At 38.3% G+C, this 13,787-nt stretch overlaps 1 protein-coding gene across 6 annotated transcripts in view; it reads left to right on the top strand.

Moving 5' to 3' along the window:
• CDC14A (cell division cycle 14A) overlaps nt 1–13,787 on the top strand; it is a 175,277-nt gene that overhangs the window by 98,240 nt on the left and 63,250 nt on the right. For 5 of the 6 annotated variants that reach the window (NM_001319211.2, NM_001319210.2, NM_003672.4 and 2 more), the window contains exon 8: nt 12,165–12,252. The exons of the other annotated variant lie outside the window; for it this stretch is intronic. In NM_001319211.2, the coding sequence (NP_001306140.1) occupies nt 12,165–12,252 (88 nt within the window). The remainder of the gene's footprint in view (nt 1–12,164; nt 12,253–13,787) is intronic. 6 annotated transcript variants of the gene reach the window in all.

Consider the following 13,787-nt stretch of genomic DNA (forward strand, 5'->3'; position numbering starts at 1 on the left):
TTTAGTTTATAAGAAAAATCTAGTAGGGTAGTAAAATTATGTTACTTTTATTTTAGAAATCAGGTTTTATTTAAAATAAAACTGAATTTGTACCTTTTATTTATTTATTTTTGAGGCGGTGTCTAGCTCTTTTGTCCAGGCTGAAATGCAGTGGCACAATCTCGGATCACTGCAACCTCTGCCTCCCCAGGCTCAAGCTATCCTCCCACCTCAGCCTCCCAAGCAGCTGGAATTACAGGTGCATGCCACCATGTCTGGCTAATTTTTTTTTTTTTTTAAAGACAGGATTTCACCATGTTGCCCAGGCTGGTCTTGAACTCCTGAGCTCAAGTGATCCTCTTGCCTCGGCCTCCCAAAGTGCTGGGATTACAGGCATGAGCCACCATGCCAAGCCCCCTTATAATATTTTTGGTTGTATAAATTTTATTTTGAAATATGGCTGAATTTACTTAGTTCTAAAAGTTCACTGAATTTTTTTTTCCCCATGGCATCATTACAAGACTTTTGATTAATGTCTTGACTGCTCAAAATGCAGGCAAAGGCTATCTCCAAGCTGGTTTGCGCTGTAAGGAGATGTTGAAGCAGAGTAGGATAAGGAGGAGTCTAGAAGTCATTAACTTTTTCTGAAAGATGAGAAGCCTGTACAATGTGAGTAGGTTCAACATTCTCGGAAGGTGAACTCATCCGTTGGGTTTCCCCAGAGGAGTAATACAATTTATCTCTATCCTTAGTAAGATAAGGACAGCCCTCACATTTGGGGCCCTAGTCTAGAATAGGGCTGTTTGGATATTCTGTTTCCATGTTAAATGCAACATATCTGAAAAGAAACTGATCATCTTTTACCCAAACATGGTCCTCTGCTTTGTGTGTGTTACCACATTGCCATCCTACTGAGCACCCAGCCTCAAGGCTAGAAACATTGCTGTTTTCCTCCCTAACCTAGTGAGTATTCGGATCACTTCTACTGGTGCCACAGGATGTATTAATTATATCTGTCTTTCCTCTCTGTTCTCACTTCCTTCCCTCTGACTCAGGTCTCACGTCTTTTCCTGTGGACCTTTCATTTTAATAGTTCTCTAACTGAGCACGGCCCTTCTCCTCCCAGGCTGCCTTACACACACCTGAGTGATCCTAAAATAGAGTTCTCATCTTGCTTGTCTTGTTCTTGGCCCCAAACCGGCTGTTTCTCCCATTGCCCTGCTGAAATGTGGATAAACTCTCCTGTCCTGGCATTCTTAGCTGTGATGAGCTCCAGCCTACCCTTCTAGCCCCATCTCCTGTTACTTCACTGTACGTACTCTGTGTTCCAGCTCCTCAAACTGCTTAGTTACTGTTTCTTGAATATCCCTGTTGCTTGGCTGAGGTTGCTTTTTCCCAGATTCCCATCCTTTTAACCTCCCGCTCCTCCATTTCGTTTGTGTTAAAATCCTGCACAGATTACATCTCACCTCTGGAGTACTCTTCTTCCCTGCCTTCAATTTCATGTGTTACAATTTGTACTTTCCATTTTTCTTATATCATGGCTATTTGTGTACAAGCCTAATTTTCCTTATTAGGTTGCAAATTCCCTGTGGATGGAATTATGACCAAATAGAAAAACATATACTTTGTTCTTGGATAGAAAGACTTAACATCATAAAGCTGCTACTTTTCCCAAAATTAATACATTTAATGCAATTTATGAAAAAAACCCAAAGAGAGTTTTTTTTAATACCATAAAAGCATTTTAGTAGTGACAAAGTAAGATTCCCCTCTAAAATCCCCAAGTTAGAAACAAAGGGAATATGTACTTATAAGAAAGAAGGTCAGATAACTTGTAGTACATCTGAATCACTGAATGTTATGCAGTCATTTTAAAAAATGAATTGAGCTATACCACTTATCTTGGAATGATTTCTATAATGTTTGTTGAAGAGAAAGGATATGGAAGAGTGCTTTAATAAAATCCATCTTTGTAATAAAACAAACAATAGTAAGACACTCCCTAGCCCACACATCTAGGTGTCTACATTATATGACCAGAGGTGACTTACTTTGAAGCTAATGAAGCTTAAATTTTAGAGAGCCTCACCCCCTCAACTTGTATGGGCACCTTTTACAGTCCTATACCCAATTTTGTGTTAATAATTTTTTACTCTAAGATGGACCCTCAAATTAGGTGAGTTTCAGACCCCACCAAAACCTGGATCTCTGCCCCATGTATATGAACATGAAGAATGCAAATGGCCCATTGTATTAATTATTAAATATACAGCCAAACACTAAAGCCATTTCAATTAAAGGAGAGATGGAGGCAGGAGGGGGTTGGAAGCGGTGAGAGAGAAGAAGGAACAATTCAAGGAGAAAACTTGTGGATGTTTTATTTATTCCTTCCTTCCTTCCTCTCTGTCTAACTTTAATGGTGATGCTGAGGGTTAGTTGAAAAAAATCTTGAAAAACCTGAAGCAGACAGTGCAATTTTATTCTTGGAAACCAACCAGCCAAACAAACAAAAATCTGACAAGAAGGTAGTCATGGTTTCACCTTGACAACAACCATCTAGGTGATGGGAGGGGAGCAGTCAGTTTTGGTGAAGACTTGATGTTGTCAAACAACTTCTTTTTTTTGAGAATGATTTATCTGTTCTATTATAAAGCCTATAAAATAGAAAACCACTATTGTGATTGGCAGGTGGTAGGTATTTCTTAATTTTTAGTTTCTTAATTTCTTAAATGTTTAAGGAATAAATGAATAAAGGAACTCTTTTCTGACAATCTGTGGGCCCAGTCATTTCCTGTCAGATTTCTCTTGCTGTTTGCCCTGTTCTAGTGAGTATGATATTTGGTGAACTTGTGGAATAGCTGAATTCATACATTTTATTAGCTCCAGTAAAGTCAGTATTCCAGTGAAGGCAGTGTAGTTTTCAAAGCAAAATTTTATTGTTGACAGCAATTTGTGAGACTGTAAGCCTTAGATGATTAGGGGATGTTCAAGATGCAACTTTTCTTTGCTAAAGTACATTTAGTAAATGATATGGCTCAGAAAAACAAAAAACAAAAAAACCCCAAAAAAGCCTAAAACAATAAGACTGTATCTCTATGTGAGATTAAAGGGGAATCTTATAGAAAGAGTGCTACTTATAAATGCTTCTAGTGATGAGGTCAACAGAATGTGGGAAATGCTTTGTTGTGTAAAGTCTACAGATAAACCTCTGCCCATCCTGCAAAAGGTTATATGCATCTTCCTCCTGCAATTCCAGGGTCTAAAGCAGTGCTGTCCAATAGAAATGTGAAAGTCATATCATGAAATTAGTTTTAACAATACATTTTACTTGTTGTAAATATGTTGTTTACATATTTAGTAATATACCTAAAATAGCATTTAACATGTAAGCAATACAAAAATTATTAATGATGTATGTATTTTGCATTTTTTTTTGAATTAAGCCTCAGAAACCCAGTGTGTAGTTTATTTATTTTATTTATTGTGTTTTTTTGAGAGAGGGTCTCGCTCTGTCACCCAGGCTGGAGTGCAGTGGTGCAACCTAGGCTCACTGTAGCCTTGACCCTCTGGGCTCAAGCCATCCTCCCACCTCAGCCTCCAGAGTAGCTGGGACCACAGGTGTGTGCCACCTTGCCCTGCTAATTTTTGTATTTTTTTGTAGAGATGGGGTTTCGCCATGTTGCCCAGGTTGGTCTCAAACTCCTGGACTCAAGCAATCCGCCCACCTTGTCTTTCCAAAGTCCTGGGATTGCAAGTGTGAGCCACTACGCCTGGCCTCCAGTGTGCAGTTTATACTATAGCATATCTTAATTTAGACTAGCCATATTTCAAGTGCATAGTAGCCACATGTAGCTAGAGTATGGATTCTGTAAGGACAGGCTAGCCAATGTACTGTCATAGTCCATCAGTGTGACATGAAGCCTAGGTTATATCTCCTTGCTTCATGTGATCTGTGGTTCACATGAGAGTTAATTTCAAAGCCCTGTTCTATTTAGAAAGCTCGAGGTGAGATACCTCAGGCTCTTGCTTTATTTTCATGTGACTTAAAAATGGCCCATTGTATTAAGTATTGATAAACAACACCAGGTGTTGGCTTCCGTCTTGGAAAAGTATCTTCCAAAATGTGGTCTTTCCAGGTCCTTTAGCAAGCTGTTGTGGAACTGTACAGTTCCTTACATTTGCCCCGATCAGACATGAAATTTGGGCAGCTATGCTGGGAAGGTCCACAAAAGTAACTGTGAGATGGTGGTCCAAAACCTTCCTCTAGGAATCAGTGTCAAAACATTTGTACTTCTCCAACAGCTTCTTAAGGTATTCTCAAAGAATATGTACCTTGAGAACCTTGAGAACTTTTACTCCTTTGAAATCTAGCCATTTCAAATCTAGTTCAGAAAAATGAAAGTTGACCTTTTGTCCTAGGGAAAAATAATGAAGATGATAGAGCTTGAACATTCAATTAAATTAGGTAGCTGTAGGTATGTGAGGAACTATGCTCTTCAGTAGTAAAGTTAGTGGTGAATGCTAGTGTAGGCTGATACTCTGCTTGTAAGACCTGGAAGTGGCACCCATATACAGAGTCTACCTTCAGTCAGCTTTCTTCTGTTTTTTTGGGGGGTAGCTGTCCTTACCAAACAAGATGTTGCCCAAACACCAGTGATCATTCATGATGCTACTGTTAAGCAGTTATTATTTATCAGAGAGAATTTGAAGTTATGTCTCTAGTTTGTTATTTTGCTTGTCCCCAAGGGCTTTCCGCTATTTACCAAAAGGCTTGCCATGGTTTGATGATGGAAGTGTGATGCGGTAGCAGTGTCCTGTTCTTAGTTGGGTTTGGGGGAAGAAATGCAGAGAAATGGTGCTTCAGTGGCAACATCGGAGGTTCCTCATCACTGTGGCTTACATTTATTACCCCATTCAAAATTCAGCCCATGCAATTTCAAGGAGTCTCCTTAAATATCTATTTGGGGATTAGGTGGAGATAAAAGTTGAAAAATGACTTCAAAACTGAGAAAGTACTTTGACTTTTTTTCTTTGAGCTATTTTCTAGCTGCCATTATCTGCCCCCTGCCATAACTCATTCCTTTTTTGGGTGTGAAAAACAAAATTATGAGAATATTTTCCAGAATATCAAGCTATTGTGGCCTTGATCCTATACTTTTAAATGTGAACAAACCCAGGCCACTTCTTTACCATTGTCTTGATAGAAGTTAGAGCCACATTTGGCCTGCAGGCCTGATGACAGAGGCACCTGTTACTGCCTTGACAACAGTCACCGCACAGGGCTTCCTTTTGTTTTTTCATCATGGCATATGGAGAAAATGATAATATTTGCTCAACACCCTGTGATGATAGCTCATAGCTGTTGGCAAGTGGCCTGGGGACTCTGGCTGCTCCAGTCTGCCCAGGCAGCTCCATTCTGGTCACACTGGCTAGGAAGCTTTGTTTTACAGAAATAATGATGTGCAGATGAACATTTCTTATTTGAAAGTCAAGTAGCCACACCATGCTCCTTATGGCCTCATTCTCATAGCTTTTCAGTTCATTTGTTGAACAGATATTAAATGCCTCATGTTTGCTCCATATATTTGCTAGGCCCAATGTTTCTTTTTCTTTTTTTGTTTTTTAGGAGGCTACCAGTAATATCATCTCTCCATGTGTAGGGTTAAAGCCTTTGCTCTTGTCACCTGGTACCATAGAATCCATGTATTCTTGTGCCTCATTCTGCAGAAGTTGCCATATTTGAGTCTTGCTTCAAGCCCCTACTTTTATGCTTATCAATTTAGTTGTGATACAAAATTTCTCACTGATCCATGACAGGCTGAAATGTGGACTATTTTGTTCCTGAGATATTCAAGCAATTCACAGGTTATCATTATTGCTATCTTCACCTAAAGGGTGCTCTTTTGGGGAAAGACCATTTCTATTCTAGAAAGTGATTTCACATTATTTTAGCCACATTACAATGTAGCGCATCTGGGAACTGTTTGTGAAAAAGCATGGGTTCATTCTGGATGCCTGGGATTGAGTCTTTCTTGGATCTTGGGCCTCTTCGATCAAGACTTCACATTACTATCAGGGTGTAGGTTTTAAAAATTAAGTCTGATTATATCATTCCCCTGTTTTATCATTTCCCCTTCATGGGCTCCACACTGACTAAAGGTGTGGAGGAAATGCAGACTCCTTACTACAGCACAGAAGGCCCTTCTTGACATGGGCTTGTCCTTCCTCTCCACCCTTGTCCTTTTCCACTCCCTCCCCATACCCAAATCCACGCAGCTTACCCGGTGGCGGCTTCTGAGCTTTTGCACATGCTCTTGCTCCCTCCTCCTGCCTGTCAGCTCTTCTTTCTGGTCCACTGTATTTACATGGTTGACTGTTAAGTCCTTCTCAACCCCATGGAAGCTCTTCTCATGTAGCCTTGTGTGGTACTCTGTTTACACATCTGTGTCTTTCCTGTATCTGCGGGTACTTTTGGGCAGCAACTTTGTCTTATTCTTCTTTGTTTGAATAAGTAACCTACTAGCACAGTACACTCATAGTGGGCAGTCATTATTTGTGGAATGAAAGAACTAATGAGTAAATGTGTGAATAATACTAAAAACAGGAGTATAGCACATTTCAAGATATTTTATATGATCTGTTTTCAGTGGAAAGTGCCTAAAACATGTTGATTAAGAATCCATTCTGATTTTGCAGTAATATTCCAAGGGACAAATTTACCATGGTAGACAACTTCTTCAAATGATGTTTCTTTTATCAGCAGCCAATCTATGCTGCAAGAGTGAGGTTTTTTTTTTTTGTTTCTAAGTCAGTTATTTACAACACAGATTGCTAGATGTTTTAATCTAAGACCAGTTCTGTATGGAACATCAATTTAGTTTAATATGTGAGTGGGGACCTATCTCCAGGTTGACTCTGTCATCCTTCACTGCATAAGTAAATTTTCAGATTGACCAGGTGGTGTAGAGTCCTAACAATTGCTCTTTAGCACCTACCTTGAGAAATAGTAAAGTTTGTTAGGCCTCCTGTCTCTCAGCAAGTCACATTGGGTCAAGAGCAGGAGTCAATATTGTTGAACACTGAAGTTATGATGCTTCAAGACTTTGTTTGGATTAGAATTTGTACAGCAAACTAAAATGTAATCTGGATGCTGCTTGGTCTGCCTTCTTTACATGTTGGTGGATTATGGAACTGGAAATAATGGGACTGCCATAGGACTGGGGTCAAGCAGTCCTCAGAATGCAAGTATGTGGGCATGTCCTCACCACCTGGAGCAGTTATGGAAGTACGCCTCCTGTGGCAATTTGAATATTGGAAGAACTATTAGAAGAAGCATTCTCCTGGAGCTGTCTGGTAGTGTTCATTACACCACTCCAAAGCCTCAAGTTTAAGGAAGCAAAATTACTTCCTGGCCACCGCAACTGCAAAAGTGAGGGGACCCAGTGTTTCCGTATCTGTTACACCCATTGCTGGTTCAAAGCTCACGTTGGTTAAGTCTATAAAATGTTTTGAGACTTACCCTGACCTAAACAATTCCCCATGGCTTTTTTTTCTTCCTCTTTAATGATTGTTTGGTATCTTTTCCTTCTTTAATCTCCAAACTTCTTAAGAGAGCAGTCTCGACTCTAATTATGGTCTGGCCTCTACTGAAACTGTTCCTGCTAACACAAGCGTTCGTAAAACCAAGTGGCCATGCTTGTTCTTCTTCCTACTTGGTTTATTCTATGGTCGCTCTCTAATTCGCATTCCTTCCCTGATTTATAATGTGCTGTCTTTTGGATTTCTCCTCCCTCCATGGCTAGCCATCTTTCTCAGCCTCCCTCTCAAATCCTTTCTCTTCCTTTGCCCACCCTGATTTGCTGGGGTTCTTGAGGACCTCATGATTTCTGGTTATACACACTTTGTATGATTAAGTGCATCCAGTTCCAAGTTTCAACAACTATGTTTGTGCTGCTGACTCCAAATCATCTTTGCGTCTTGAACATTGGAGTGGCATCTGCAAATGTGCACTGGATTTTTGCACCCTGCTGTTGTACCAGCAGAGGTGTTCACTGATCTGGACTTTTGGAATGGGCCTCCACATGTTTTCCAACCCCACTGTCTCCCTGCTGTAGCTGATGCTAGCAGAGGTGAAGCAGTCATCCACATGGGACACTCCTCTTTTGCTCCACCACACCGTCTCCCTCAAAAGCAAGTCTAAATTAATAATCTAGAGTTTGATTATTATTTAAAGCCAGATGGCATGTCAACTTAAACCAAATAATTCAAATATTTACTTTGCTTTAAGCTCATAAAGTGCCTGTCCTTACAGCATATTTGCATTTATGTAATACAACTATACTGTCAACACTGTTTTGTTGTTTTAGAAGTTAGGGAAATATAAAGAAGGCACTTTTTAAATGAATTTTAAAATGCCACTGTGGTTCTACCTTATTAAATTTCAAAATAGTCTTTGTGTCACTGTCATTCCTCTTACATACTTTTAGTATCGCATGTTCAAAGTGTAATGTGACTTTTTCTTTAATGGATAAAACGAAGATGAAAATAACATCTACCTCATAGGGTTGCTATGAGAAGTAAGTTGTATAGAATACACTAGTGTTTAACACAGAGTCAGTGGTATCCACATATTTGCTGCCATTTTTGTTACTGTTATTTGTCATTCCCACCTGCCTTTGGACTCTGTAAAAGCATAGAGAATGCTTTTTATTATTTTATGTTTGACACCAAGTTACAGTCCTTGATATATAATAAAGGCTCAGCAAATGTCTAAATGAATGTTGAATTGCGCTTCAAAACTGTTTCTGCATGTTTTCCTAGAAAACACATCTGTTGATATAGGAAATCAACCTTGTAATCGTCAACCTCAAAGACTATCTTTTCTATCTTATTGTAGGTTTGTTACAGTAGTAAAAAGGTCAAATAGTTTTCAGTGTTTGGACAGAAAAATGTATTTGTGACCATTACTATAGAGTCACAAATGCATTTCTTAGAAATCATAAAAATTGGCCGGGTGCAGTGGCTCATGCCTGTAATCCCAGCACTTTGGGAGGCTGAGGTGGGTGGATCATGAGGTCAGGAGTTCGAGACCAGCCTGGCCAACATGGTGAAACCCGGTCTCTACTAAAAATACAAAAAAATTAGTCGGGCCTGGTGGTGTGTGCCTGTAATCCCAGCTACTTGGGAGGCTAAAGCAGGAGAATTGCTTGAACCCGGAGGCAGAGGTTGCAGTGAGCTGAGATCGCACCGTTGCACTCCAGCCTGGGCAACAGAATGCAACTCCATCTCCAGATAAAAAAAAGGAATTGTAAAAATTCATGTTTTTTAGTCAAATTATATTTTGAGTGCACCAGGAGAGTGAGTTATTCAAAAGAAAGCTGTGAATCTTTTGTAGATTGGAGAATCCTATAGCACAGTGAATAACAACACCTAAATGTATCACTTTCAGGAATTCAGATTTTTTTATTTTGGATTTTTCTTACAGTGAAGAACATCTATAGTTTTTTTTGCATAGTATTTGGTAGGTAGTAGGCTTTAGATCAGAAGTGGTAATATCATACTCTTGCCTCATCCTTGCTTAGGTATTTGTTTACAAAATGTGGTAGGGTTGGAAAGTACCTTAAGTTCCTGTCTGATCTAGATTTCTTTGAAGTGTATGTGTGTGTTTAATTAGAAAAACCAACTTGGGTCATATAAAGTATTTTATTATTGATAAACATTGACATTTGTATAATTCACTATGAATAAAGGCACAAATATTAACTTTGGAAGACTACCAAAGTAAGCGTATATTATATTAGGTCAGTTAAAAGCTGTAACTTCCTTATTAATTTTTTCTCAGATTTAGGTCTAAGACCTAAATCTTTTTGTTTATTCCATCAGCCTTATCCTGGCTGCTGAATATAACCCAATATTATCTACTATTTATCTTTTTGGGTAGGAGGATTTGCAAACATATTCTTTTGGTTCTGTGAATGAATGTATCTTAGGGATCCCCTTGCCTCTCTCCATATGATTAATTATAAAAGGTTGCTATTTAACCAAATGGATTTCTGTAATCCAAATAAGCAGATATTGCAGAGCGTATTTATCTAACCTACTTGGTGGTCAAGGATACAGAAATAGTGACCGTAGAAACCTGTTTTCTTTTATTGTTCATAAAGAATTGGTTTTAGTCTCTTGATGATTAGTGCATACCTTTATTCTTGGATTTTCAAATACTGTGTTAAGCTTAATAATTACTTGAGAGATATTGGATAATTAATTTGAGACTTTTATTTAAACAAGCAAATTTTAATTGCCATAATTAGATTCTTTATTTAAGTTGTTATAAATAGAAGCTATGCTTGAGGTTTAATTTCACATGTGCAATCATAACACTCAGGGTTTCTTAGATTTTACTTAGGGCATTTTGGATATTTTTTTTATTTCCTTTGAGACAGAGTCTCACTCTGTGGCCCAAGCTGGAGTGCAATGGTGCAAACTCGGCTCACTGCAACCTTCATCGCTGGGGCTCAAGCAGTTCTCCTGCCTCAGCCTCCCAAGTAGCTGGGACTACAGGCACACACCACCACACCTGGTTAATTTTTTTGTATTTTTAGTAGAGACGGGGTTTCACCATGTTGCCCTGGGTGGTCTTGCACTCCTGAGCTCAGGTGATTCACCTGCATTGGCCTCCCAAAGTGCTGGGATTACAGGCGCGAGCCGCCACGCCCAGCTGGAGATATTATGTTTATTACAACTAGATTAAATGCAGTTCAGATGTTTATAAGATGGTATGCACAGTTTCACATATAACTTTTTATAACTGGGAAAAAAATCTGCATTAAAAAATGACAATTATATTTTATAGCCAAGTTTTGATTTTCATGGAAATGATAATGGGTAATATAAGTAATTAAAGTAATGGCTCCAGTTTTTTTTTGATGGCCATATTCCAATTTGTTTAACAAATATTTATTGTGTTCTTATGGTAGAGTACAGAGTCTATATTGGGTCAGTTTTCTACTGTTGAGGTCCTTGCCATATAATGGGGGGAGAAAGCTTTTTATATGGATGGTAACGGATGGCCCAGTGAAGAGAACAACATTGCTTCCCTGCCCTGAGGATGGAGACAAGGAGGGCAAGGGTAGGGGTAGGTGGGGAGGGGGTGGTGGTGGTAAAGACAGCGTAAGTGAAGAGGTGATATATATATTTTGTGATGCATTGCACAAATGCCTTCTAATGACTGCAAAATTTGGGGTAACCTTACTCGTGCCCCAGTGTCCCATGGTTCGGAGGCACATGGGGAAGGGAAGAAAATGGGGGAGATGATGGAGCCATGGGAATGTGCTTGGCTACTTTCTTGGTCTTCTTAAGCCTTTTCTGAGGATCTCTTAGCGTGTTTAGACTAGAGGCTGATAACTGGTGCTCAAAGTCAGCCAATGGGCATGTTTTATTTGGTTTCACAGGAGTTAAAAACCTAATTTAAAAAGTCAACATTTTAAAAAGAGAGTTTTCACATGAAAATTCAGTTGGAAGATCAGCTGTGTTCAGTTGGCTTTCCTACAAGGTGTCTCATTAGCTGGAGTGGAGGAGCACCTGACTCTATGTATGTCCCTTGCTTGAATCTTGTTATCCTCCAGAGTACAGCTTGGCTGACTCTGGTTTGTGGAATGGATGCGCCAATATCACTCGCTCCTGCCTTTTGCCATTTCCCCCTCTAAAAATCAGCATTGACAAGAGATAACAGCCCTATAAAAAGAGAAAAAAAATTGGAAGTGTATTCATCAGGAGCTTGATATTTACAGATGTTTTTTCATTGTTTAAAATATGTTTACTACATTCATGGAAAGTTTTCATATTTCCCATTTTCTCTTATTTATCGCCAAGACAAGCAATGTTTGTTTCCATTTCATTTCTTTGCAGTGGCCAGGAAACAAACATTTTATGCAAAATACCTCTGCCGTAAATAAAAGTTTCTAAACATTTCATACAGTCTAGACACAAGTTTTTCTAAAGCGGATTGAATTCCTAAATAGCATTTTGAGAATCAGGTGCATGTTTTTATTTTAAGCTATGTTTGTCTACATGTATGTCTAATTAGTACTAAGAGTGAAAAGCAGTTTTATTTGTAAGGGTTTCCTAAATTGTATAAGAATTATAAAATATTTTTCTTCTCTTTTCTTACAAAATTCTGCCAGCGAGTTGAAAATGGTGACTTCAACTGGATTGTTCCAGGAAAATTTTTAGCATTTAGTGGACCACATCCTAAAAGCAAAATTGAGAATGGTAGGTTTTTTTTTCCTTTACCATCCAAACATTTATTTTGATTTATCTTTCTAAGTTTCTTAACTTCCTCAGATAATTATTTTCTTTGGTAATATTCTCCAAAGAATATTTATTCATAATTTAAAAAATTGAACAGTAGTAATAGTGTGTTAAATATTGTATTTCCAGTAGGTGGAGCTATAATCACTGTTTTAGAACTTAACAAATTTTTAGCTTGCCATAAATAGGATGTTCACTTTACCTGACCCCCAATTATTAGAGAAGAATCTGAGAAACAAACTGGTCAAACTCATAAGCAGATTGCTGTATTCTTTCAGTGGTTCTCAGATTTATTTGTTGGTAGAGTGCTACACATCAAGATGTTCTTTGGGTAACACCATGTTGAATAATGATGATGAAGACAATCTGTCATTTACTGAATACTTAGGTGCTAGTTACACAGATCACAGCATTTATCTCTTTTAACACTCAACACAACTCTATGAGATACAGATATTGTTATCTGCATTTTAGGGAGGAGTAAATTGAGCCTTATTAGTAGAGAATTTGCCCAAGGTCACAAAGTAATAGGCAGAACTGGTACTCCAAACCAGAGGAGGGCTCCTAAACATTGCCACTACACTGATACACTTAGTTCCATTGTGACAACTAGGTACAATTTTCTAGCTGACAGTGGTTAAACTACTTATTTGCAGCATAATTTATTGCCATGGGCATACATATTTAGGAAAAAAATAAAAACAAAACTAAAAATAAACCTTTTGAATGAAACATGATCAGCTATGCAAGTTTTCCCATTAAGACTTATTTTGTACTTACTAATTTTTTCTATCTACTAATATTCCCTAGAAAACAAGTAATGATAGACAACAGAGGTTCAAGAATAATTTACAAGAGAAGTACATAAAATTGAAAAAATATCCATGAACAAAATATCCCCCCCCCTTTTTTTTTCTATCTGATCATAGAGGTGGAATACCAGTGTTCTGAGGGAACCTAACTTGAAACCTCTGGTCTAGATTTATTCTTCAGCTGGGCATGGTGGCATGTGCCTGCAATCCCAGCACTTTGGAAGGCTGAGGTGGGAGGATTGCTTAAGGCCAGAAGTTCAAGACCAGCCTCGGCAACATAGCAAAACCCTGTCTCTTAAAAAAAAAAAAAGATTTATTTTTCTTTAATCATCATATTCTAGAATCTAGTTTCATTGTATATTGTTATTCATGCATTTAGGTTTTATAATTTGAGCTTTCATAAATATGCTTATCATTTCATACCTGTGACATATTTAATAGGGAACTCTGCTTGAATCATGATTTTACCATGCGAATGGGCAATCCAGGTCTAGAGAGTTAAGCTCACAAACAGGATACCTCTATGGTGAAGTCAGAATTTGATCTTCTTACTTATAAGCTTGCTAAATAATCTTTTTTGGTCTGGACATTCAATAATTAACCTCTGTCATTTTGGGTTGTTAGGAATTACATGTTGAGAGCCTGAGGAAACTGCTTTCTGACAATTGGCCTTTCAAGATAAGA

The sequence above is a fragment of the Homo sapiens genome, chromosome 1, assembly GCF_000001405.40.
Source record: "Homo sapiens chromosome 1, GRCh38.p14 Primary Assembly".
NCBI lineage: Eukaryota > Metazoa > Chordata > Mammalia > Primates > Hominidae > Homo > Homo sapiens.